Genomic DNA, 23,683 nt, shown 5'->3' on the forward strand with positions numbered 1-23,683 from the left:
ATGTCTCCAAACCACACTATTCATTTATTTTTCTCATAGTTCTGTAATTTGGGTAGGACTTGCAGGGATGGTCCAGCTCTACTCCACGCAGCATTAGCTGGGGCAGTGCTACTTGGGGCTGGAAGATCCATTTCAAGCTAGTTCACTCATGGCTGGCAAATTGATGCTGGATCTCTGCTGGGAGTTGAACCAGGACTTGAGCCAAGGGTTCTCAGTTCCTCTGAGCCTTCTTGCAAGTTGCCTGGATTTCCTTACAGCATATTATCTTGGTTTTGAACGTGACCCAAGCAGGAAGCAGAAGTGCTTGTTATTTTTATGACCTAGCTTTGGAAGTCACATGGCACCTCTTCTGCCATACTGTATTGGTCAAGGAAGTAAGAAAAACTCACCTAAGTTCAAGAAGAGAAGACATGGACTCCTCCTTTTGATGGAGACAGCAAGGGTCTTAAAGAACATGTGGCTTAGGATATATGGTTGTGGCCATCTTTGGAAGATACTGTCTGCCACAATATCAAACTAAGTTTGTTCAGTGGTCACTATCTTGTAGCAAATCAAAGGATATCAAGTGAGCATGGTTACCCTATATAGCATCACCATTATGGTTTGAAGAATATCACCTTAGTTCCTCTTATTCAAGCAACAGATACTGACAGCCAAAACTATGTGTCAGGCACTGTGTTAGATGCTCTAGTGACTCTTCAATTCATAACTGAATTTTGACAAGTTCATTTCCATCATATTCTTACCGTGAGGTACTTCATAGAAATTTGATCCTTTCTTTCTTTTATTCTCATATAACAAGTATTTTTAAATATCTACAGTCTTTATCCTTGATCCAAGAGGATATTTGCTGCAGGTATAGTGTGACTACTGCTCACTTATTAATAGATTGATATTCAAGATGCTTGACATTTGCTTTGGCTTGCACACTGGCCAATCAGATCAGAAGCTGACCTTATCTGATACAGTCATATTGCTGACAGTATATATAGTAGGTGAATACTTGCTTACTTTTTAAGGAGTCTTATTTTTCATTGTTTTTTCTCCACTTAAATAAATGAATACATGTTGAGCATTTATTATGTTCAAGAACCTGGCTTTGGTACTGAGGAAACTGTGTGTCTGTTCTCAATAGGATTTAAAAGGCCTTTTGCAATTACTATGTTCTCTGCCCAGAAGGCTCTTTCCCTAAATATTCACGTGGCTCACTCCACCACTTCCTTCACTTCTCTGTTCATGTGTTACCACATCAGAGAGTCCTTCCCTGTTCACTGTAAATAAAGTAGCACCCACCTATTATTTCCTATCCTTAATGTATTTTTTCATAGCAGATACAACCACCAAGCATATTGTAAATTTATTTATTATTTACTTCCTTAGCAAGAATTAAAGTACATGAAATTACATCCCTAGCACTAGAAACTATGAGCACACAGTAGGTACTCAGCTAATACAAGTTGGATTGAACTGAATACTTGTTGAGATGTGGAAATGAAGAGAGATGGCAGAGAAAAAGATAACTGAAGCCCAAGCCAGGCTGTCAGGAGGAATAGTGATGTCATGAAGTGAAGTAGGGAGGAATTGAGGGGGAAGCATTTTCATTGAGGTTATCTGCTTTTGTGCCATATCTGAAGATTTGTCCCTTTGGAGGTACACATTTGGTTGCATTCTGTATATGAAATTTAAAAACAAGCATCTAAATATTGCAAAATGTTTCTAGACAAGCACAACACTTCGTTAGCTATCTGGCCTGCTGTCCCTTACCTTCCAACATCTCCTGGGACATCTTTACTAAAGGAAATGCCACTCCTAGTGTCTTAGGATGATCCGTCTCCATAGTTAGTTATTAATCAAAGAAAAATGATAATAACTCATGTTATCCTTTTATCCTTGGCAAAGCTGTTTCCTAGAAGTAATATCCAAACATGATGAGGTGTGGAATCTCAGTTGCCTAAACTTAGAAAGTTAATGTTGGTCTCAGTTCCCACACAGGTGCATGAGGTCGGGGGACATAATGGAAAAGGGCTGGAAATCCCAGACACAAACAGGACCTCAGGGTCAAGGAGGGCTTCCCAAAAATAACAGCTCTTGAAGAGCCAAGGCCTCTCTGGGTGTGAGCCAGTGGACATCAATAGTACACACAGCACTCAAGTGGAAACAGAGGCGAATGATTTGGCAGTGGTTTCCTGGCCATATAAAACAAAGTTCTATTAACATAAAGCTAGTAGAGGGAGGGATTGCTGCAGCTGTGATGTGACTACATTTCATGTATTAACTCCTGGGGCCTCACAATAGTGGATTCTTGCTGGCTTTATTATGTAAGAGACCCCAGAAATAATCCCAGAAACCCCAGAAATAATCAGATATTTCATGATTTTCAACTTTGGTGATACTGAAGAAATAGAAGGTATTGAGTTTCTGCTGGGGAAGAATGAAGTAGGAAGCCAATAAACTGTAATGAGTTTTCTCTACCAACACCAACCTATATCCCCTGAACAGTGGTTTTCAAACCTTGCTGCCCATCACCTGGTCAGGATATAAAAATTACTGTTCCTTAGGCTGCTCTGGAGATCAACTAAATCTGGATCTCTGGGACTGGCTCCTGATATATGTATTTTTAAAGCTCGCTAGGTGTATTGGTTTTGTAGGGCTGCCATAACAAAGTACCACTGACTGGGTGGCTTAAACAACAAAAATTTATTGCTTTACAGTTCCAGAGGCTAGAAGTCCAAGATCAAGGTGTTGGCAGGGTTGGTACCCTCTGAAAGCTGTGAGAGAGAATGTATTCCATGCCTCTCTCCTAGCTTCTGGTAGCCTCAGGCATTGTCCTGGATACAGATGATATTCTCCCCCTGTCTTCCCATGGTCTTCCCTCTATGCATGTTTCCGTGTCCAAATTTCTCCTTTTTGTAAGGATACCAGTCATGTTGGATTGACCATCTTAATGACCTTGTCTTAACTTGATCGTCTACAAAGACCCTATTTTCAAAGACGGTCAAAATCACAGGTGCTGAAAATAAGGACTTCAATGTCTTTGGTGGGGGCGAAATACAAGTTAATCCTTACCAGGTGATTCTACTGTGCAGCTAATGAGAATACCTGATCTACATCTGACTTGGGCCTCCCTCGACCCAGTCACTCTTGGAAGAAGAGAGAAGGAGAAGAGAAAAGTAGAGGAGTGAAGGAAAACATAAAAAGAATATCTAGAACAGCTCATACTAAATTATAATTGAGGAGGTCGAAGGACTGCTCTTCCTTATGCCTCTTACAACTTCTTGTCCTCAAGGCATGACTCCCTCCTGAAGATAACCTCTCTCTGACTTCAGCCTCTTCTTACTCTAACCATGTGAACCTCATCTTATCTACAAGATTGATTGGGGAACTTTCTATGTTCAGTGACTCTCTGTCCAGAGTAAACATTAGGACAAATTGGGGAGCTTTTCAATAAAACACCAAAACCAGGCCTCATCTCTACTAGGAAAGTCAGATTCTCTGTGGAAGAGCCTGGCCATAGCAGTATTTAAGAAGTACCACAAACTTCTATCTGTGATGTGTAGTAACTGGAACTGGATCTTCCCTTTTGATGTAAACAAGTAGAAATCTTGACAAAATATAGGACAGTTTTCAGATATTGAACAATAGGAAGCACAAAGCTGTGATCCCTGAGAGAAGGGAAATGAAAGAGATGAGCACTATAATCTCCCAGCTTCCTGCCTGAAGACACCTTCTGGCTACACGGAGAAAGGGGGATCTGAAGCTGAGTTCATCTGGGAAAGGAGATAAAAATAAGAGTCCAGGAAAGCTGAAGCAGACGGAATGTCTAGGACAGAGCAGCAGAGAGGAGGAAACTACATAGAGAAATCTGTGTAAGATTTCTTTTGAATTCAGTCTGTTGCTGAATATTAAGCCATGTATGTATAAGGAGAAACAATACAAGCCTAAGCAAAACTGCCAAGTAGCAGTAAACTGAACAATTTTTAGAGCTCACAGAGGGTTTGGAGACATCCAGGTGTGACATGCCATAATGGAGAGTTGTTAGTGAGTACTCAGAGAAATCAACAGAGACTCCAGATGGGCCAGGCTTTAGAGATGCTAGTTTAGTACCAGCCCCTAGCATAAGAGATAGTCTGTACCTTCCTTAAGAAAGCTTAAAAACAAGCCTCAAAATATCAAGCTGATCCGCAAGTAACTTAACTGTCTTCCAGAACAAAGCCCAACGTTTAAAGAAAGGCTACTGCATCCATTACTCAAGCATGTAAAATATATAGTGTCTGCATCTTACCAAAAATTACCAGACATCAGCTGGGTGTGGTGGCTCATGTCTATAAACCCAGCACCTTGGGAGGCTTAGGTGGGTGGATTGCTTGAGCTCAGGAGTTCAAGACCAGCCTGGACAACATGGCAAAACCCCCTCTCTACAATGGATACAAAAATTAACCAGGTGTGGTGGCACGCGCCTGTGGTCCCAGCTACTTGAGAGGCTAAGGTGGGAGGATTGCTTGAGTCCAAGAGATTGAGGCTGCAGTGAGCCATGATCGCACCACACTGTACCTTTGCCTGGGCGACAGAGTGAAAGGTTGTCTCCAAAAAATAAATAAATAAATAAATAATTATTAGACATATGAAGAAGCATGAAAATGTGACATGTAACAAGGAGGAAAAAAATCCTCAGAAATGATCGAGATGATTATATTAACAGATAAGAACTTAAAACAGGTATTATGAATCTACTAAAGGAATATATATATATATATATATATATATATAGAACTAAAAGTAAAAAGTTTCCTTACAATATGCAGCTGAAATTGAGGAGCTGATAGATGTTCTATCCTGTGTCAAAGTAGGTGGAAATTATTTTTATTTTTGGAAAAGCTTGGGGCAAGACATTCAATGGCAAAGATAATGGCAACTGCTGTGGTTCATGATACGAGTCCACTTTCTGGAAAACATTTTATTATCTTTCTATATCTGTATCTCTCAACTAAAACATAGTGTGCTTTATTCGTTGAGGCACTTGATAAAGAGATGTTGACCCTTTTAGTTGATAACTATCATGCACAAATGCTCTCAGATTTGTGTATGTGTGTACATGTATTCTCAAGTAACAATATGTTTTGTCTAGCATTAAAGAATTAATGGATTTCAATTTTTTAAAAAATTATACATTTTTACATTTTGGAATAATATTTTAACTATGTTTTAAATCCAGTTATATAAAATAAAATATGAGCGTCTGAAGACCTTCTTGCATTTTTACAGACATTTAATGCTTGGGTCTCTGACAAGAACATTACAATACATGTCATATTCTCTCAATAGAAAAATTGTTAATACCCTAAAGAAATCATTGTAGAGGGGGGATTCGCCATGTTGTCATATTCTCTCAATAGAAAAATTGTTAATACCCTAAGGAGATCATCTAGGAAAGGAGATGTTTTAAAGAGCTGCTTAGGTTGTTATCTGTGTAAAGAGGTGGAAAAGTTGGCTGTTTGAGAATATATTTCCCACAGAATATAGGGGTCAAGTTACTAGCTTTAGAAATGAGAACACTATTTGATTGCTTTTCAAGATGTAATGTCTTTGCAGACAAGTGGCTAGAAGTATTATTTCAGAATCAATTGAATCATGACATGTGACTAAGGTACTTCAGATTTGTTTTTGAGATGCCCAAACTTAACACTGAAGCAGTGTGTGGTAAAAAACTTATACTTAACCCCCAAATTGCCCAAACATACGAGTAGCTTGTTCTTCTGAAGGCTGTGGCTTTTATCTGGATCAAGAATTTTGCCTGCACAGTTGGTCACAATTACAATCTTATATCACTAGATAAGCAATATGGTTGAGAACATTTTTAATTTGAGGAAAACCAACACTAGCTATATTGACAACCTGAAGCTAAAGGCTCAGCAACTTGTGTAAAGAAGTGATTATCACAAGAGAGTGACTTTCGTGTTTTTAAATGGTTACATACAACAAAAGAAGAGCTCATGCAGCTCTATGACTGGGACATTGTGAAAGATCTCATGATATTTCAGACTCAAAGAGAAAAATGCTGGATTGGAAGACATTCAGTGACTGACACTGAGGTTAATCCCCAAAGGAAAAATCATTCTGTAGGGAATATTTATATCTGAACAACGAGAAGCCAGCATCTGCCTTAAAATAATATCATGCAGGGCACTGAAGTCCACTGCAGTCCAAACTCAATCTGGGTGACTATGGGCCTACATTAATTTTGGTGAATAGCAGGTTATTTTGAATTGGGAAGTGGTGATATAAAAGAATGAGAAAACTTAACTTCAGATCATGAATTCCTTTCATGGGAAAAATGTGAACCCCAGTAATATTTTCATCTGATATTGATAGTAAGATTAATAGGTATTCAGAAACAGACTTGAAAATTCAAAGCAGATAGCAGGAAATGGTACTAAACTGAGAAACCATGTGAGAAAGATTATTGTGAAAGAGAACTAAATGGTGGAATGAGAAGAGAGACAGAGAGAGACAGAGACAGAGAGAGAGGGAGAGGGATCATGGAAACAATCCAAAGATGTCACAGGGAAAAAATATAGAATAGGTAAGACCTGCACAGCATTTTGGAGTGTCAGTTTTGATTGCCAAATCTTTTGTGTCTCCAGCTCTTACCTTCAACAGTCTTCTGATGGCTATAGTTATGTCCCACTCTGTTTACCTCTTTCCTCATCACTGTGTTAAAGGGTTACTTCTTCCCTGCCATGGCTAGACTTACCAAAATTAACACACATTTTGCTGGTAGAGAAGTTATCTATGAATGGGAAAAGACTATATGCATCTCCTAATTATAAAGGCCCAAAAGAAGGTTGTTTTGTTTTTGTTTTTGTTTTTTTTTTTTTTGAGATGGAATCGCGCTCTGTTGCCCAGGCTGGAGTGCAGTGGCGCCATCTCAGCTCACTGCAAGCTCCGCCTCCCAGGTTCACGCCATTCTCCTGCATCAGCCTCCGGAGTAGCTGGGACTACAGGTGCCCGCCACCACGCCTGGCTAATTTTTTGTATTTTTAGTAGAGACAGGGTTTCACTGTGTTAGCCAGGATGGTCTGGATCTCCTGACCGCGTGATCCACCCGCCTCAGCCTCCCAAAGTGCTAGGATTACAGGCGTGAGCCACTGCACCCAGCCAGAAGGGTTTTACAAAAACTTTATTACCAGGTAGATCCCGTGTTTTCTCCCTTTAGCCTGATATCTGGTGCACTGAAATCAATTATTGAACACAGTAGAGATACTTCAGTACCCCAGGTCTAATTTTTATTAGATTTGCCTATTAATAAAATCTCCTGGGAGTGTTTACCTTACCCTGATAATGTAGAAAAATTCTGTCTCCAGACACATAACAGGAAGGCTGTGTGAGAATGTTCACATCTCTGGTTCTTGACTATTTCCGAGCTTTGCTCTCTGGCTCTGTATCTTTGTGAACTAGCTGAGTTCACAGCTTTTCATGTGACTTAATAGCCATAGCATATGTACTAGCTGCTCCACTCTGGGCCTTGATTCAGATCTTGGTAAAGGAAGCATCCTCTGAACTCTCCCAAAGATACAGTGAGGGTGGGTGAGCAGATCTTACATGAAAAATCCATGGTGACATTCCAATTTCTCAAAGCCTTTGCATACTTCCTCTACAGCATATCAAGGAAGTTCATTTTCATTAAACAACCCCACAATTTGTTCTTATATTTCAGCCACTTTGTAGACCCAGAAGCCCCTGAATAAGGAGGAAACTGGGTCCCCTTGAGGAAGAAGCCTGCTCTACTGCCAAAAATGAATGTGGTCCACCAATCAGAGTAGAGATTTATGGAGATCAGGTGATCAATGAAATTTTGGTTAGCTACATCTCACTGTGGGACCACTGGATCCTGAATCCACTCTGTGATTATTTTCTTGGTTCTTGAATAATTGGAATAGACACAGTCAGCAACTGGTAGATACCCACAACTGACCTGTGGAGTGGGGACTATTATGGTAGGAAAGGCCAAGTGGAAGCCATTAGAACTGCTTCTACCTATCAAAATAGTAAATCAAAATCAGTACTGAATTCTTTGAATAATTTCAGAAATTAGTGATTCCCACTTTATCTTTGTGAATTTCATATAATTGACCTGTGTAGAAGACAGATCTTAGAGAATGATAGTGGCTGTTATGGACTGAAAGTTGTTAGGATTTCATATGTTGAAATTCTAACCCCCAAGTTGATGGTATTAGGAGGTGCAGCCTTTGGGAGATAATTATGTCATGAGAATGGAGCCCTCATGAATGGGATTTGTGTCCTTATAAAAGGGACCCCAGAGAGTGCTCTAGCTTTCCTTCTACCCTGAGAGGGTACAGCCATCTGCCACCCAGAAGAGGACACCCACCAGAACTTGACCATGTTGGCACCCTGATGTCAGACACCCAACTTCTAGAACTATGAGAAATAAATTTCTGTGGTTGATAAGCCACTTAGTCTGTAGTACTTTGCTAGAGTGGCCCAAACTAAGACAAGTGAACTGCTGTAAACATAATCAGGTAGTGACTGCAATTGCAGCTGGTGTTCCAATGTGGTTTTATTTCTTGGGCAAATCAACCCATTCCCTGGCAATTCATATGCAGCTATTAATATGCAAATGTTTTTTTCTCTATGCCTGTTAGTAAACACCATTGGAAGAAGGTTTTTTGTTTGTTTGTTTGTTTTGTTTTTTTGAAGTTAGCAAGGCCAGCTGAAAGGCCTTTACTGTCCTACCTCAGGGCAATATGAACTCTCCAGCCCTATAGCATCATACCGTCTGTAGGGACCTTGATTGCCTTCCTTTCTACAGGACATAATACTGCCCTATTATATTGATAGTATCATGCTGCTTAGATCTGGTGAGTAGGAAGTAAAAACTACTCTAGACACATTGTTAAGGTACCGTATGCTTCAGAATGAGAAATACCTCAAAAATTTAAGGATCTGCCATATTGGTGAGATTTCTAGGATTTCAGTAGGCTGGAGCACTTTGAGTTATTCCTTCAATGGTGAAAGAAAAGTCACTGCATCTCCTACCTACCTTTCCTACCACTAACAAAGAGGCACAATACCTAGTGGATACTTTTGTATTTCAGAGGCAGCGTATAATCTATTCAGGCATGCTACTTTAAGCCACTTACCTCATTACCCAAAAAGAAGCCTGTTTTGAGTAGGGATAAGAATAGAAAAGGCATTGGAATTGGTCCAGGCTGTATGCAAGCTGCTCTACTACCTGGACTGTGTGACCCAACAAATCTGATGGTACTTAAAATGTCAGTGTCAGGGAGGGATGCTGTAAGAGCCTCTTGTGGTTCTCTATGGTTGAATCATAGTTCATACTCTTTGGATTTTGTAGCAAAGCCATGCCATTCTCTGCAGATAACTACTCTTCTTTTGAGACAAGCTTTTGGATTATTACTGGGTTTTAGTAAAAATGGAAACTGACCTTGGGTCACCCTATTACCATGAGAACTGAGAGGCCCATCAATGCTCCAGTATTAGATGTGGAGAAAATTGTTCCCACAATTTTGTTAGGTCAAATTCTTGTAAAAATGCATATATAATGGCTCTGATCTTTTTAATTGAACTCTGATATATAACTATACCCATATGCATAAGCCACATGAAATTGGGGACTCAGTGGCTCAGCTGGATCAAAGGTAGTGTGCTTTTGTTCAGATTCCACCATAAACTGACAAGGAAATCACTCATGTGGTACAGTTTTTGGATACCTGAAAGTTATACTTATTTTCTAAATCCTTCCCCATTTGGCTTGTAAGGATTTTCCTGAAGAACTGCGTGATCCTCACTGACTTAAATGCTTATGTACCTGGAAGGGGTAATTCAGCTTGTAAGCTAATTATAAGTGCAGATTAGTTTTCTGTGTTACTTAGGATGACAGTTGCTGTTCTAATATATCTCAAAATGCTAACTGGCTCAAATTCACATCCTCTGGTGGTTCCAGTGTAGCTATTAAAATGGGTAATGTTTTTAACCATTGTTGTGTGTAAACTAAAAATGTACAAAATGTACAAATGTGTGTGTGTGTGTGTGTGTGTATATATATATATATATATATATATATATATATGAATAATATCTAGGTTATGAAACTGTCATGGGATCCTTGGGGTGTTGCTTCATCAGCCAGAATCCTCTGCGGCTAGTGGTGCCTTTGCCCAGGTTTTGCTTGGGCCCACTGTGTCTACTCGACCTGGCTGGCTGCACTTGGCTTGCACTGCCAGCCTGGATCCCATGCCTGCCCAGGGTGAGTGCAGCAGCAAGGGGTGTGTGAGTGAGCAAGCGTGGGGTCTGGCCACTGCACACAGCCAAGCACACCAGCTGTGGTGGGGTAGGTACCTATAGGTGCTAGCTCCCTGCAAGGCTGCAGGTGGACCAGGTGTACAGCAAGCAGTTTCCATGGCTGGCACTGGGGAATGTGGTTACACCTGGAAGCTTGGAGATGCCAGGAACCACAGAGCCCCAAAGAGGGTATCACAGCCCTGGCTCAGGGAACTCCTAGGTCTGGGCTTTCAGAAGGGCCACAGCTCTTCTCTCCTTCTTGTCTCCTGCAACATGATGAGCAAGGGGCATATTTCAGCCTGTTTGTATTACAGCTTTTTCAGCCCCGCCATTCAGCAGATCTGAAGTTCTTGTCCTGCACCCAGGAAGAATAAGGTATGTGGACAAGTGGAGAGTGAGCAAGGTGAAGAGCTGCTTTACTGAGTGACAGAACAGCTCAGAGGAGACTCACAGTGGGTAGCTCCTCTCCACAGCCAGGGTGTCCCAGTGAGTGTTCAGCTCTCAGCAGAGAGGAGACCCTAGAATGTGTAGCTCCTCTCCACAGGCAGGTCATCCTGTCATCAGCAGAGAGGAGACCCTTGGGTGGGTAGCTCCTCTCCACAGCTGGTTGCCCTGTTGTCTCTTTTTGGGTCTGGCTGAGTCCAAGGCTTTTTAGGCTTCTGAGGAGCAGAAGTGTGCACTGATTGGTCTATGGGTGGCCATGGGCTGGCCTGGGAAAAGCACCATATGTTCCCACTCTGGTTCACGGGACTGGCAGCCTGGCCTCCAGGCTTCAGGCCTTCCCTGGCTTGAAGGTAGGGATTCACCTGGGACCCAACCCTTTCTGCCCAGGGGCCTGTCTGCCTCCTGCTGCTATTCATGGCACCCAGGCTATTCCTGCTGAGGTGAATCTGCACACCCACACCAAGTTGCCCTCACCACCACCCCCCTCGGCCTCACTCCCATGCTTCTTGGCACCAGAAGTCCAGAGCTGGCTGAGGTGGCATGGGGCTGGCATATCAGCACTGCCCCAAGCATGTGCTCAGCCAGCCAGGTTGTGAAAGCACCCAGGCTTGGCCTCAACTCCATTCCGAGATCGGAGCGGGTGCCAGGAGCAGGGAGACAGCAGGCAGTGGGAGCAGATACCTTTGAGCCTGCGGGGGAAGGGGGACTTCCTGGGCTCCTGAGAGTGCAGAGATGCCCAGGCCCGCAGCTGTGGCTTGAGTGGTTGCAGCTGCACCTGGGAGGGTGGGGCTCCTGCCTGCTCCCAGCCCCCAAGAGCACAGGGATGCCCAGGTCCATAGCCATGGGTGGGCAGCCACAGCTCTGCCCAGGGAATGTGAGGCTCTTGCCCTGCCAACTCAGAAGTGGGGCAGGGCTTCTGCCTGTTCCTGGTTCCCGCTGGCTCCGTGAAGCACACAGCCCGGCCGTGCCTCCCCCACTGCAACTGGCATCATGGCAGTGGCTGCTCCAGACAGATCGCCACTGCCATCAAAACCATAAAACCTCTTTTGACTTTTTCATGAAGAAATATTATTTTACAATTAGGGAAGTCTTATATTAAAAAAAATTGTTACAACTTAAACAGAAAGTGGGTCCCTAGGTCATGGCCACTGCAGACCATTTGGATTAGGAGTGGGGACAGGGATATTAGAATATGGAGACTTCTCTGTACTGGGTCAGGATACCATTGGTAGGGTGCTGAGAGAAGTTACTTCACTGGGAGGGTAACAGCTGGTAGGGAGGGAGTGAGGAAAGAGAGGCAGTGCCTCTAGTGAAGGGGTATCCAATCTTTTGGCTTTCCTGGGCTGCATTGGAAGAAGAAGAATTGTCTTGGGCCACACATAAAATACGCTAACACTAACAATAGCTGATGAGCTAAAAAAAAAAAATTGTAAAAAAGTCTAATAGTGTTTTAAGAAAGTTTAAAATTTGTGTTGGGCCAAATTCAAAGCTGTCCTGGACCACAGTTGGACAAGCTTGCTCTAGTGGTTAATCACACACATTCTTGCGCCAGCCTATTTATTTTTTATTTTATCTTTGACACAGTCTCACTCTGCCACTTAGGCTGACGTGCAGTGGCGTGATCTTGGCTCACTGCGACCTCCGCCTCCCGGTTCAAGCGATTCTCCTGCCTCAGCCTCCTGAGTAACTGGGATTACAGGCATGCGCCACTATGCCCAGCTAATTTTTGTATTTTCAGTAGAGATGGGGTTTCACCATGTTGGCCAGGCTGGTCTTGAACTCCCAACCTTAGGTGATCCACCCACCTCGGCCTCCCAAAGTTCTGGGATTATAGGCGTGAGCAACTGCGCCTGGCTGCGCCAGCCTATTTCTTATCCCTATTCCATCCCTTCTTGCTGTGCAACCTTGGCAATTATTAATTTTTTTTCTGCCTCAGTTTTCTTATCTGTGAAATGGATACAATAAGAGTAGCTACCAACCTAGGGTTTTTATAAGAATTAATTGAGTTATTATATGTATAATATTTGCTCCATAATGAGCGCTGTTATTGCTATTGCTCCCAAGTTTGGCTTTGAGCTTGTTCTGAGCTAACAGTGGCAGTTCTGTGCCATAAAACAAGGTGCCCAGGAACATCTCCTCCTCAGCCCTCTTTAAACCTGTCCTGGCTGCTGTATGTGGGACCATCCAGGTTCTCGGAGCTTGAACTATGTGGGTAATTTATATTTGTTTCCTCTACAAGTCAGCATCAATCTTTCCACATCTCTCATGGAACAAAATGCTCTGTGTCCATTGCCGATTTTTATCACTGTTGTTAATGTTAATAACTTTTATTAAGCACAGAGTTATAGGTGGTATAAAAAGCAAAGGAGTCACCAAACAAGAGACCTAACCTCTCCACCTCCAAAACAAAACAACAACAAAAAAGATCACAATGTACTTTTTCCTTTTGCCCTTTCATTTCCCATGTTTTAAAATGTTAATTCAAAATGTCATTTTTAATTAAATTTTTATTTGAGGGAAATGTTAAGTAACACCCGTCTGTGCTATTTTTAGCAGTGGCTCGTCCTCTGGTTCAACGTGAGAATGAAAATGCTGTGTGTAAGCTATAAATTCCATGAGGGCAGTGACCTTATCTACCTTCTACATTGTTGTGTCCCTAGTTATTCCAGTGTGGTACATGCTCAATAGGCGACTTGTTAATTAATTTTAAAGTGAAAAAGTATAGCAAGTTCTACTTTTTATCTTTGCAATTCTAAAAAAAATTACAAATGGAATGGTTATGTTGATTATGATTATGGATGGTAAAAACTTGTGGGAATTTTTTTATTAGGAGAACTCAAGTTTATATATATATTTATATATATATACACACACACACAAACACACATGTATGTTTATCTCGCCACACACACAATTACATATATATACATATGTATGTACATCTATCATATTTACTATAATCATACATGTGTGATCATAGTTAATATTTATTGAACATTTACTAATTTCCAGAAATTAGGCTATGCACCATACATCGGGACTTTTTTTGGAAGCTCATGAAACACTTTGAAGGTAGATGCTAGGATTGCCCTCATTGAAGAATCTAGGAAATGGGATGGAGAGATGAGGAACTGTGTCTGACATCACAGGGTGAGAAATTATACAGGTGGGGTTTGAACCCAGATAGGTTCATTCCAGGTAATGCTGTGCCTCCTGTTTATCAGTATTTCTGCTTGCCTGTGTGACAACAGTGAGTGGTATAAATATGAGGAAAGAAAATTGTGGAGGTTTTGCATTTATAAGATTGGCAAGAGCTGGGGACAGCCTTTCAGCTCTTGAAAAGGTAGACTGAGAATCAAGCTTGCTCTTCCTTTGAAATATCAGTGAGCAGAAAGAAGAATTGGGAGCTGGAGTACATTCCTTGAAACATAATTTTCTCAGAAAGTGAGTAAGAAGAAGATAGGAATATTGCTATTGATTAACAATCCTATTAGAAGACAGTAGCAGGATAGCTTTCCTTTCTTCCCTTCTTCCTTCCTTTGAAATTTATTGAGCAACTACTTTGCACTAGGCCCTGGAAATGCACAGATGGAAAGTGTACAGAAACTAACCTGGGGAAGCTCACAGTCTAGGGAATAAACAGACACATAAACATGACCACAACATCACGTAATCAAATGGAGGCATATGCAGCCTGTTGTGGACCACAGGGGAGGATGTGACTCATTCAGTCTGGGGATGTCAGGAAGTGCTTGGAATCAAGGATGTGTTGTTTGAACCAAGTTTTGAAGAATGAGCAGGAGTTAGGGGGAGCAACAAAAGAGTGGAATTAACAGCATTCATTTCTGTGTTCACTCAATCATTCTCATATTTCATTCAATGTCTACTATATTCCAGTCCTTGTGCACAGAATATTCTGAGGATATTAAACGAATACCTTCTTTAGCATTTCTAGTCTTAAGGAATCACACTATCCTTTAATAGAAAATTAATAGTGTAATTTCCCATTGATTTTATGACAGGCAGCCCAGTTTTTTCCAGTTCCCTAAGTTTCAAAGTCCATCTTGGTTGTCTGATCCCCTCGGCCTTGCTCCTGACCACAACTTCACTTCTCTGGATGTCGTCTTTGTTATGCGGAAACCAGCTTTCCTCATGCTGCTGCTGTTCCCCTCCCTTTGTGTTTGCCCAAAGTATGCATGCAAACCAGACCCTTAATTTCCCAGAGGAAAACAGCTATAAGCAAACTATTAGGAGAAGGTTATTGAAAATTTGCAGATAACAAATGGAGTTACAATGCAGGAAACAACATCAATGACAACAATGTAATGTAACATGGGCACCAAAACCAGACACTATGCTCCCCTAACACACAGGCCACTTCCCTAGAAGTTTCTCTTTTCATTCATTAGCTTTAGCCAGTCGCCATGCTCCAGGGGTCAGCCTACCTTCCTTTTCTCTGAAATTGCCCTGTAGCACATGTCCTCTGTTTGGAAGCTAAATGATCACAGCTCTGAGATTCCTGGAGAAATTGAAACTCCAATTTTTTTATAAAAAGACTATAAGCTTCAGAGATGCAATTCTGTCCATAATGATGAAAATATTTAACCTTATAACACAGATACTATAGCCGTATAATCCCTGGAATCTGTCCATCTCAGCATAAAATCCTTGCTTTATCTCTGCATGGAGATAACAACTTCAACCAAGGGGCCACTACCAGGCCTCAGAGACGAATTCCAGTCTCCTATTTAGAAAGAAAATAACTACTCATAATTTTAGAAATTGCAACCTCTTACAAATGGATTTTGGCCATCCCAACTATCCTTCTTAAACATTTTAATAAGCCACTGAGAATTAATATAACTGTAGAATGTTGCTGTTGAATATTAGTGTAGAGTCAGGTTTTATCTCACCTTGTATGCACCAATACAGCCACATTATTTATGGTCATGCCAGTTTTTAAAGTGGTGTCCATCTGATTGGTCAATTGTTTGTTCTGATTAGCCAGTCTTATGTTGTACCAGTTGTTACAAACTTTGAATAACATCTGGCCTTAGAGATCATATAATTTGGGGTCTGGAAATATATGTTATGTTTGCTGTTATTCCTGGGGCCTTGAACGACATTACTTATCTACTTATTTGTCTTCTCTGGGTCTGGACATGGCTTTATGATCCTTTTCATTGCAGCTTTCCAGGCAGCTCCTATGAATTGATCAGCCTTGTAATGCGGGAGAATATCTATTTGTCCTCCCAGATCTAGTCGAAACCCATTATCTTTCAGATGAGGCTTTGTCCACCAGACAAAAAAACTCATGTTGTAGTACAGAGTTATTTGTATGCCTATTACATGACACATAGCCGGTAACAAAGTTGGGAGAGTGAGCAAACGTAAACACATTTGAAACACAGTAGGCACATTAAATCTTGGCTTTAAGTTCTTTTGGTTGTGTAAACCTAAATTTTATGGAATCAAGTTTATTAACTCCTTAATCCTCTGATTTCTTTGGAAAAGAAGTGTGCCTACTTACGTAAAGGTAAATGTCCATGTTACATATTGAAATATTTCTTGCTTTCTATGCTGTTCCACTGGGATTTCTGTATTTGTCCCAAGTCTCTCTGGAGCCTGTCAAGTGAGATAACTTGTATAAACTGCAGCAGAGAACGTTCCCTGTGAATAAATCCAGTCTGGGACAAAGCACAGCATTCACTTCTCAGATAAAAATCAATCTGTCAGAAGAATTTCTTTACTGCTTAATTTGTCTTATGTGTCCAATTATGTGAACACTAGCGTATAAATTGTTCAGAAATTGCTTTTTCCATTATCTATTCCAAGACCTTGTTTTTTCATTTCTTGAAATTAATGAGAGACTTTTCAAGTATAACACCTGAAGATTTAACTTTCACTTCGTTCATTGCCATCTTAAATGGCTGATGATGAGTTCATGGATGGCACCTTTTCCATGGGACAGATATTGCTTAGGTACAAGCTCATTGCTCTCATTCATTCTGTAGATAACGTACAAAACTCTCAAAGAGGGAAGGTGTTCCAGTCACAAAGTAGAGATGCAATAGCTGTGTGCAAGGTCTGAGCTCAAGAAAACCCGTAAATATACTTCTATAAACTGGTCCTAAGCTCCTGCCACACTGAGCTAACTGGTTTTTCTGGGGGTGGGGTAGATAAGCAGTCAGAACTGAATTCTATCCAGCTTGCTGATAAACATATTCTACCATAATTCTATTTAATTTCAGAGAAGAGGGTATATTCTATGATTAGAATACATTTCTGAAGACCTCCTCAAGTCATGTAACAGGCATACAAAAAGCTCTGTACTGCAATGTAAGTTCCCTTTAGACCTTTACTTAGAAACTATGTGACAACTTCCATGATTCAGGAACAGTACTGCAGTTGAAAAATAACACGCCTGTAATCCCAGCACTTTGGGAGGCTGAGGCAGGTGGATCACGTGAGGTCAGGAGTTTGAGGCCAGCCTGGCTAACATGGTGAAACCCCATCTCTACTAAAAATACAAAAATTAGCCAGGTGTGGTGGCAGGTGCCTGTATTCCCAGTTACTTGGGAGGCTGAGGCAGAAGAATCACTTGAAACTGGAGGGCGGAGGTTGCAATGAGCCAAGATCGTGCCACTGCACTCCAGCCTGGTACAGCGTGAGACTCCATCTCCAAAAAAAAAAAAAAAAAAAAAAAAAATGGAAAAAAGTAAAGCAGATAGATAATTCTATAACAGATGAGGATCGACTGAATCACTAAAAATAAATGAACAATTTGACCTTGCAGAGTGATGTATCTTTACCCTACCCTTATAATTCAGTGTCTAAGTCCTGCTGCTCAATTAAATATATCAACCATGTAATAAGGTGTTTCCTGCTCTTGCTTTACAAGTGTGACAAAGTTATTATTTGGCACTTCAAATATTTAGGGCCAAACCAACCACCTGCTTTTACCTTAGATCACATTTTAATTTTTATAATTCTTAACCTCATTCCTCTGTAAATAAGAAGTTTTCTATACCCTTCAGGTTGCCCTCAAGATTTTCTGTTTGTCTTTGATTTTCTGCAGCTGGAATATTATATGACTCTGTGTGTGTGTGTGTGTGTGTGTGTGTGTGTGTGTGTGTGTTTGGTATTTATTCTGCTTGGTGTTCTCTAAGATTTTTAATCCATTGTTTGTTATTTCTCAGTAATTTTGGAAAATTTTCTGCCGTTATTAGTTTCTGTTCCTCCTTAATCTCTGGTACCTCAATCATACATATGCTATACCATTTCATATTGCCCCATAGCTTTGGATATTCTGTTCTGTGTTTGTTTGTTTGTTTTCTCTTCATATTTCAGTTTGGGTGATTTCTATTGATTTATCTTCAGGTTCACTGATTCTTCTAACATCTGTATTGAGTGTACTGATGAGCCTGTCAAAGGCATTCTTTATTTGTCACTCATCTTCAGATTTCTAGCATATCCTTTGATTCTTATAGTTTCCCTACTTCTGCTGACATTACCCATGTGGTCTTGCATGTTGTCAGATTCTAGCCCAAAGTGAGGTCTGAGGGGAGTTGGTGGGCAGGTGGGGTGTAGCTGGAAAAACACTTGTGGAATCATAGGCAGTCTTGACATGGCTTTATTCTCTCTCTGGTCGTGAGCCAAACTGCCTGTACAGCATCAGCAGGGTAGTTATACCTTTTACAGACTATAGGGGCTCCAAGCCAAGCATGAGCTCATGTGAGTGGTCATCTCATGTGCCTTGCATGGCATGGTTACATACTGTGCAGGGTCGTGTGCCTGCACTCCAAACCCGCTGAGTCACGCTGCCTTGGAAGGCTGCTTTGGCCTACTCCTGACTGAGGTGCAGCCATTTCTCTTACACATGTTGTCTACCTTTTCTATTAGAGCCTTTAACTTTTTAATTGTTAGTTATTTTTAAATTCTCTGTCTGATAATTCCAACATCTGTGTCATATCTGAGTTTGGTTTTGATGATTGCTTTGTCTCTTCAGGCTATATTTTTGGAACGTCTTCTAAATTATTGGTGACACTTGGACATATTGTATAAGGAAATAGATAATAAGGTAAAGAGATTTTTTATATGAGGATTTATGTCAATCTGACCTGCATTTGGGCTAAGTTTGTTTATTTTAGCTATGGATACCAGAGGGTTCAAATTCTTCTAGTAACTTTATTTTGTCTTGACTCTTAGCTTTGGGGCTTCCCTTTCTTGCTGTTCCTGAGAGATAATATTTCTCTTGTAGCTGTTTTAGCTGTAAACTAATGCTATTGTCACTGGAGGATTATTAGCATAATGGTAGCATGTGTGTCTTGGGGGCCACACACTCTCTAATCTTTTGATTAAGCCTCAGTCTTTGGAGTGCACATTGGGCCTGTGTTTTAGGGTTGTGGCCTTTACAGGTGTTTCTGTCCCTTCTGTAGGAATAGAGCTTTCTTCTTTCTGCTCTTTATCCCTTTCCAGCCTTCAGCAGGTGTTCTCCAGTCTTCCCAGTCTTCATTTGTGAGAACTTCTCCCCTGTAGATTGTTCCTTTGCTTTCTTAGGTAAAATAGGATAGAGTAGAACACAGCTCCCTAAGCCCAGCTGGAATGGAATTTTACTGTTGCTGTCTGACATGTCCTCCATGGAGATTAAGCCTGAGAGTGAAACAATTTAGTGGATTTCACCATGGCTACTCTCCCCTCCTCCTGTCAGAGCACCAAGGGAAACTTTTTGGACTGTCTCCTTGACCTGCCCTAACAGCCTGATGAGATTCTGAAAGAAAAGTTTAGTTATATATGGAGGCCCCCAGAAACTTCTCACTTTGATGCTATCTCACAGTTTGCTTCCAGAATTCATCAAAAGTTCTATTTTAATATTCCAGAGGCATTTGCTTCAGGTAAGCAAATACTCAGGTCCTTTGTCTCCCTAGAGGTACTTCTCTCTCTAGATAATGGGAGGTAATTTTCTCTGTGACCTTAGCTCTTTGATGAGTCTAAGAAAAGTCTTTTTATCCCCCAACATTTTGTTATTGTAAGAATGGGAATGACAATGTCCATGTTCTTTTTATGTCTGAACTGAAACTGAAAGTTCACACATACTTTTATTTGTAATGCTCTTTCTAATCTAGTTTTAGTGATTCCATTAGGTTTAGGTATAGCTGCAGGTGACACAAAACCCAAAATAATAGTGGCTTGGACAAGATATGTTTATTTTTGTCTCAGTAAAACATTGTCCATGGAAGATCTGGTGTTTGTGGTATGAGGGACTCAGAATCTAACCTTAGCAAGAAGAACCAACATAATGGTTCCAAACAGTGCTAACCTTCAATCATTACACCTGCATTCAAACCAGCAGAAAGCAAGAAGAGGTTAAAGAAGGTGCTCCTTTTAAGAACACTGTCTGGAAGCATGTGGCATAACTGTTTACATCCCGTGGGTTAGAACTTAATCACATGGCCATACCTAGCTACAAAGAAACCTTGGAAATGTTGTCTTTATTCTCCATGGCTTCTATGCCCAGCTAAAACCTAAGAGTTTTCTGAGTGAGAAGGGGAAAATTGATATTAAAAGACAATTGGCAGTCAGAATTAATGCTTTCTCTCTCTCTCTCTCTCTCTCTGTGTGTGTGTGTGTGTGTGTGTGTGTGTGTACACTATATGTTAACTTCAGAACAAACTTTGATCTTGGGCATATTTCCCATTTGCCCTGTAAAAATTTGCTTTGTTACCCTCACCATTTGATGAAGTCTGCGTATGCATTTCTGCTCTTTTGGAATGTAGAGGCTGTGTCTTCATATCTGAGATACAGTGTTTCTGATAAATATTGGGCAAGAGTTAATTAAACCTAAAAAAAGAGCTCTGGTAATAAATGCAGGTAAACAATGGAAATGCCTTAGTCCATTTATGCTGCTGTAACAAAATATCTTTGAGTAATTTATGAAGAATAGAAATGTATTTTTTTACATTTCTGGAGGCTGGGCAGTCCAAGATCAAGGCTCCAGCAGATTGCATGTTTGGTCAAGGCCTGTTCCTCCTGGTTGGTGCCATGTGAGTATCATCACATGGTGGGAGCGATGAAAAGAGAAAAAGGATATGAACACTGCATTCTCACATGGCAGAAGAATGAAAGAGCAAAAAGGTTCTAAGCTAGTTCCTGGTAGCCCTTTCATAAAGCACTAATCCAAGAGGCGCCACCCACAGGACTTAATCCCTTCCCAAAAGGCCCCATCTCTTAATATCAGCACAATGGGGTTAAGTTTCAACACATGAGTTTTGGGAAATATTCAAACCACAGCAGGGGCAAAGCAAGTGGCTTGTAGATAAGGAAGTGACAGCTATAGGCTAGGCTATAACTTCCTGGGAAACTCAGCCTCTGTTGACTGCTTCTACATCAACCTTAGACTCAATTGAATCAAATGATCAAGGAGAAGTTATTGAGCATTTACAGTGTTCTCAGTTAACAGCTGGTATAAATAAAGAAATAAAAGACTGATTCCCATTCCTCAAAGAACAAAGGCTAACAGATGAAACAATTTGATGGAGTAAATAGTATTTTTTTTTGTATGTACAGATGCTAACTGTCATCGAAGCTGTGGAAACAGGACCCTTAGTGCAGGCAGGATAGCTGGGTAGTTGAGGATGTGGGACTTTCCCCACTCCTGGGCTAGCAATAATCTGTGAAGTTAGAATAGAGATACTCTCATTATCTACCAGTAGGATAAAAATTATACAAGGCATAGAATGATTTCATAAAATGCAAAGTAAAACAAATATGAAGGAATTATCACTATTATCTATAAGCCATAAAGGCCATTGATTGCTTGTTTCACATTTGTTCTGAATTTCTGAACCAACAAGGAGTTAACAAAATGCTCCCCCACCCCTTATATGGCAATTAATCATATGTCTAAAAATAGTTACTAATTATAATAGGCTTTTATTCTGAAAAGGAAAATATCAAGACAATCCCTCACAGAAGGAAAATTATTATCTTAGTTTCCATTAAGTAATTCCCCCCCACCCCGCCCAAATACTTACAGGTGGGTATGGGATCGCTGCCTTGGTAGGCTCCACTTCTTTGAGTCACTTTGCTGTTTCTAACATCTCTAACTAATCATAGTCACAGAACTGACAAGTCCAAACTGGACAGCTGTTTCTTGAAAATAAAATATCTAATGGCAAAAACTATTGCCCTTGCCAATGAAAAAGCAAAGGCATCTGTACTTCACAACTGAAAGGGGCTGCTTCTTGGTTTTTCAGTTCCTTTGTAGTTTCAGGCCACATTTAGATGAATCTGTTTTGCTAAAATACTGAATTTTCCAGTGAAATGAGTCAGGTATTAGCCTTTTGTCAGGCATTACAGAATCACGACATGCTTAAAGCTACAGCATGCTTAGTGTAACACTAATGCTGTTTTATTCATTTTCCTTAAATTCTGAGGAAAACAAGATGCCATGGCCTGGTTGTTTGGAGCAATTTTGGGGCTGAAACATAACCATCATTACTACTCATTTGTTTCCATGGTGAATTGTGATGTGTTTCAGGAGATGTAGCCATGCAGAGAAGCTCAATCAGAACAGCCAAATGCCAGGGTGAACAACATACCCACAGGCAATCAAGGACCATACATGTAAAGAGTGATGTGATTTCAGGGGCTTTTTAAAGAGAAAATTTGGGCTAGTCTACTTTTAAAAATAAGATTAGAAAACATATGCCTATCGAAAGTACTATAAATATTAGATTGGTTCAAAAGTTATTATGGTTTTTGCAGTTGAAAATAATGGCAAAACCCACAATTACTTTTGCACCAACCTAATAAGAACAATAGTAATTTGCTGGTTTCCATTTGAGGGGAAAAAAAAGGTTATAGGAGAAGAGAGATAAAGAGAAGGCAAGAAAGAATGAAAAAAATTTTAAAAATCACCAAAAAGAGCCATTCATGCAGGTTCAAAGAGACATTTTCATGGAGTAATTACCCAAAGTGTGGCTTTTTAAAATATTTGCTGATAAAGACTTTTATAACTCCATGGAGGTTTTGTTACTAGTGTTCTAATAATAGAAATATTATTATATTTTTTCATTTTCTTCTTCTCAAATAAGTATGGTGAAGGCCTGATTTGAGCTTTCAGAAAATTCTCATTTTGACCTGAAGTTTGTAATTCATCCCATCTTACAGAGTGCTTCAAACTGTGGAAATAAAACATAAGAGTTACTGTAAAGATGTTCACACTATTACAGAAATGTCTTTTTGTCATTAAAGCCTACCGAACACATCAAGGACACAAACAAACAAACAGAACTAGATTAACAATAATAGTGTTTTAGAGATGATGATACTTAAAGTTATTTTCACATAATGCCTTCATTTTACAAATGAAAATATCAACTCCCTCAAAACTGAAATAACATATTCAAGGATCATAAAGGTAAGGGTGGTATGGAATCCAAGTTGTGGCTTCTATTTCTGTTCTCCTGCCTCTGCATATAGTAAAGCTATGACATGTTTGTAACCCTGTAGAATTTTCCACAACATTCCACATATACTCAAAAAGCCACCTTGAATAACTGAGCCAGATGCCTAGTTGATGAAAAAATTACATTTGTTTTTCCTAAAATTTCTGGATTAAAAATACCAATGATATTTGCAAGCAGATTTTCTTTAAGTTGCTAGTAATAATTGGAATTTCTCTTGATTCTTCCCATGCCAAAATAAGAGTAGAATTTTTATTTTTGCCAGGACCATACAAATTCTAAAGAATTGAATGAGGAAAATAGATGTATCCCTGGAATGAAACTAGTAATTTATTCTTTCCCTCTTCTCTGGAACCTGTAACAACAACTTGCATCTGAGCCATCCCCAGAACAGATGAGGAGCAACCATCAAATAGCGGAGATTCAAGGGGCAACGCTGACCTTGTGCACAT

The 23,683-nt window shown here is 40.3% G+C and overlaps 1 long non-coding RNA gene across 9 annotated transcripts in view, besides 2 other annotated features; it reads left to right on the forward strand.

Moving 5' to 3' along the window:
• The window catches only part of CFAP418-AS1 (CFAP418 antisense RNA 1), a 541,308-nt gene that overhangs the window by 398,319 nt on the left and 119,306 nt on the right, over positions 1 to 23,683 (forward strand). The gene's annotated exons all lie outside the window — the stretch shown is intronic.
• Positions 14,303 to 14,830: an enhancer, noted in NCBI's record as "OCT4-NANOG hESC enhancer chr8:96693685-96694212 (GRCh37/hg19 assembly coordinates)". NCBI's record gives its function as "activates a minimal SCP1, AML or CMV promoter by ChIP-STARR-seq in primed H9 embryonic stem cells {active_cell/tissue: H9 hESC(primed)}" and the evidence as "EXISTENCE:reporter gene assay evidence [ECO:0000049][PMID:30033119]".
• Positions 14,831 to 15,356: an enhancer, noted in NCBI's record as "OCT4-NANOG hESC enhancer chr8:96694213-96694738 (GRCh37/hg19 assembly coordinates)". NCBI's record gives its function as "activates a minimal SCP1, AML or CMV promoter by ChIP-STARR-seq in primed H9 embryonic stem cells {active_cell/tissue: H9 hESC(primed)}" and the evidence as "EXISTENCE:reporter gene assay evidence [ECO:0000049][PMID:30033119]".

Source organism: Homo sapiens, chromosome 8 (genome assembly GCF_000001405.40).
Source record: "Homo sapiens chromosome 8, GRCh38.p14 Primary Assembly".
Taxonomy (NCBI): Eukaryota; Metazoa; Chordata; class Mammalia; order Primates; family Hominidae; genus Homo; species Homo sapiens.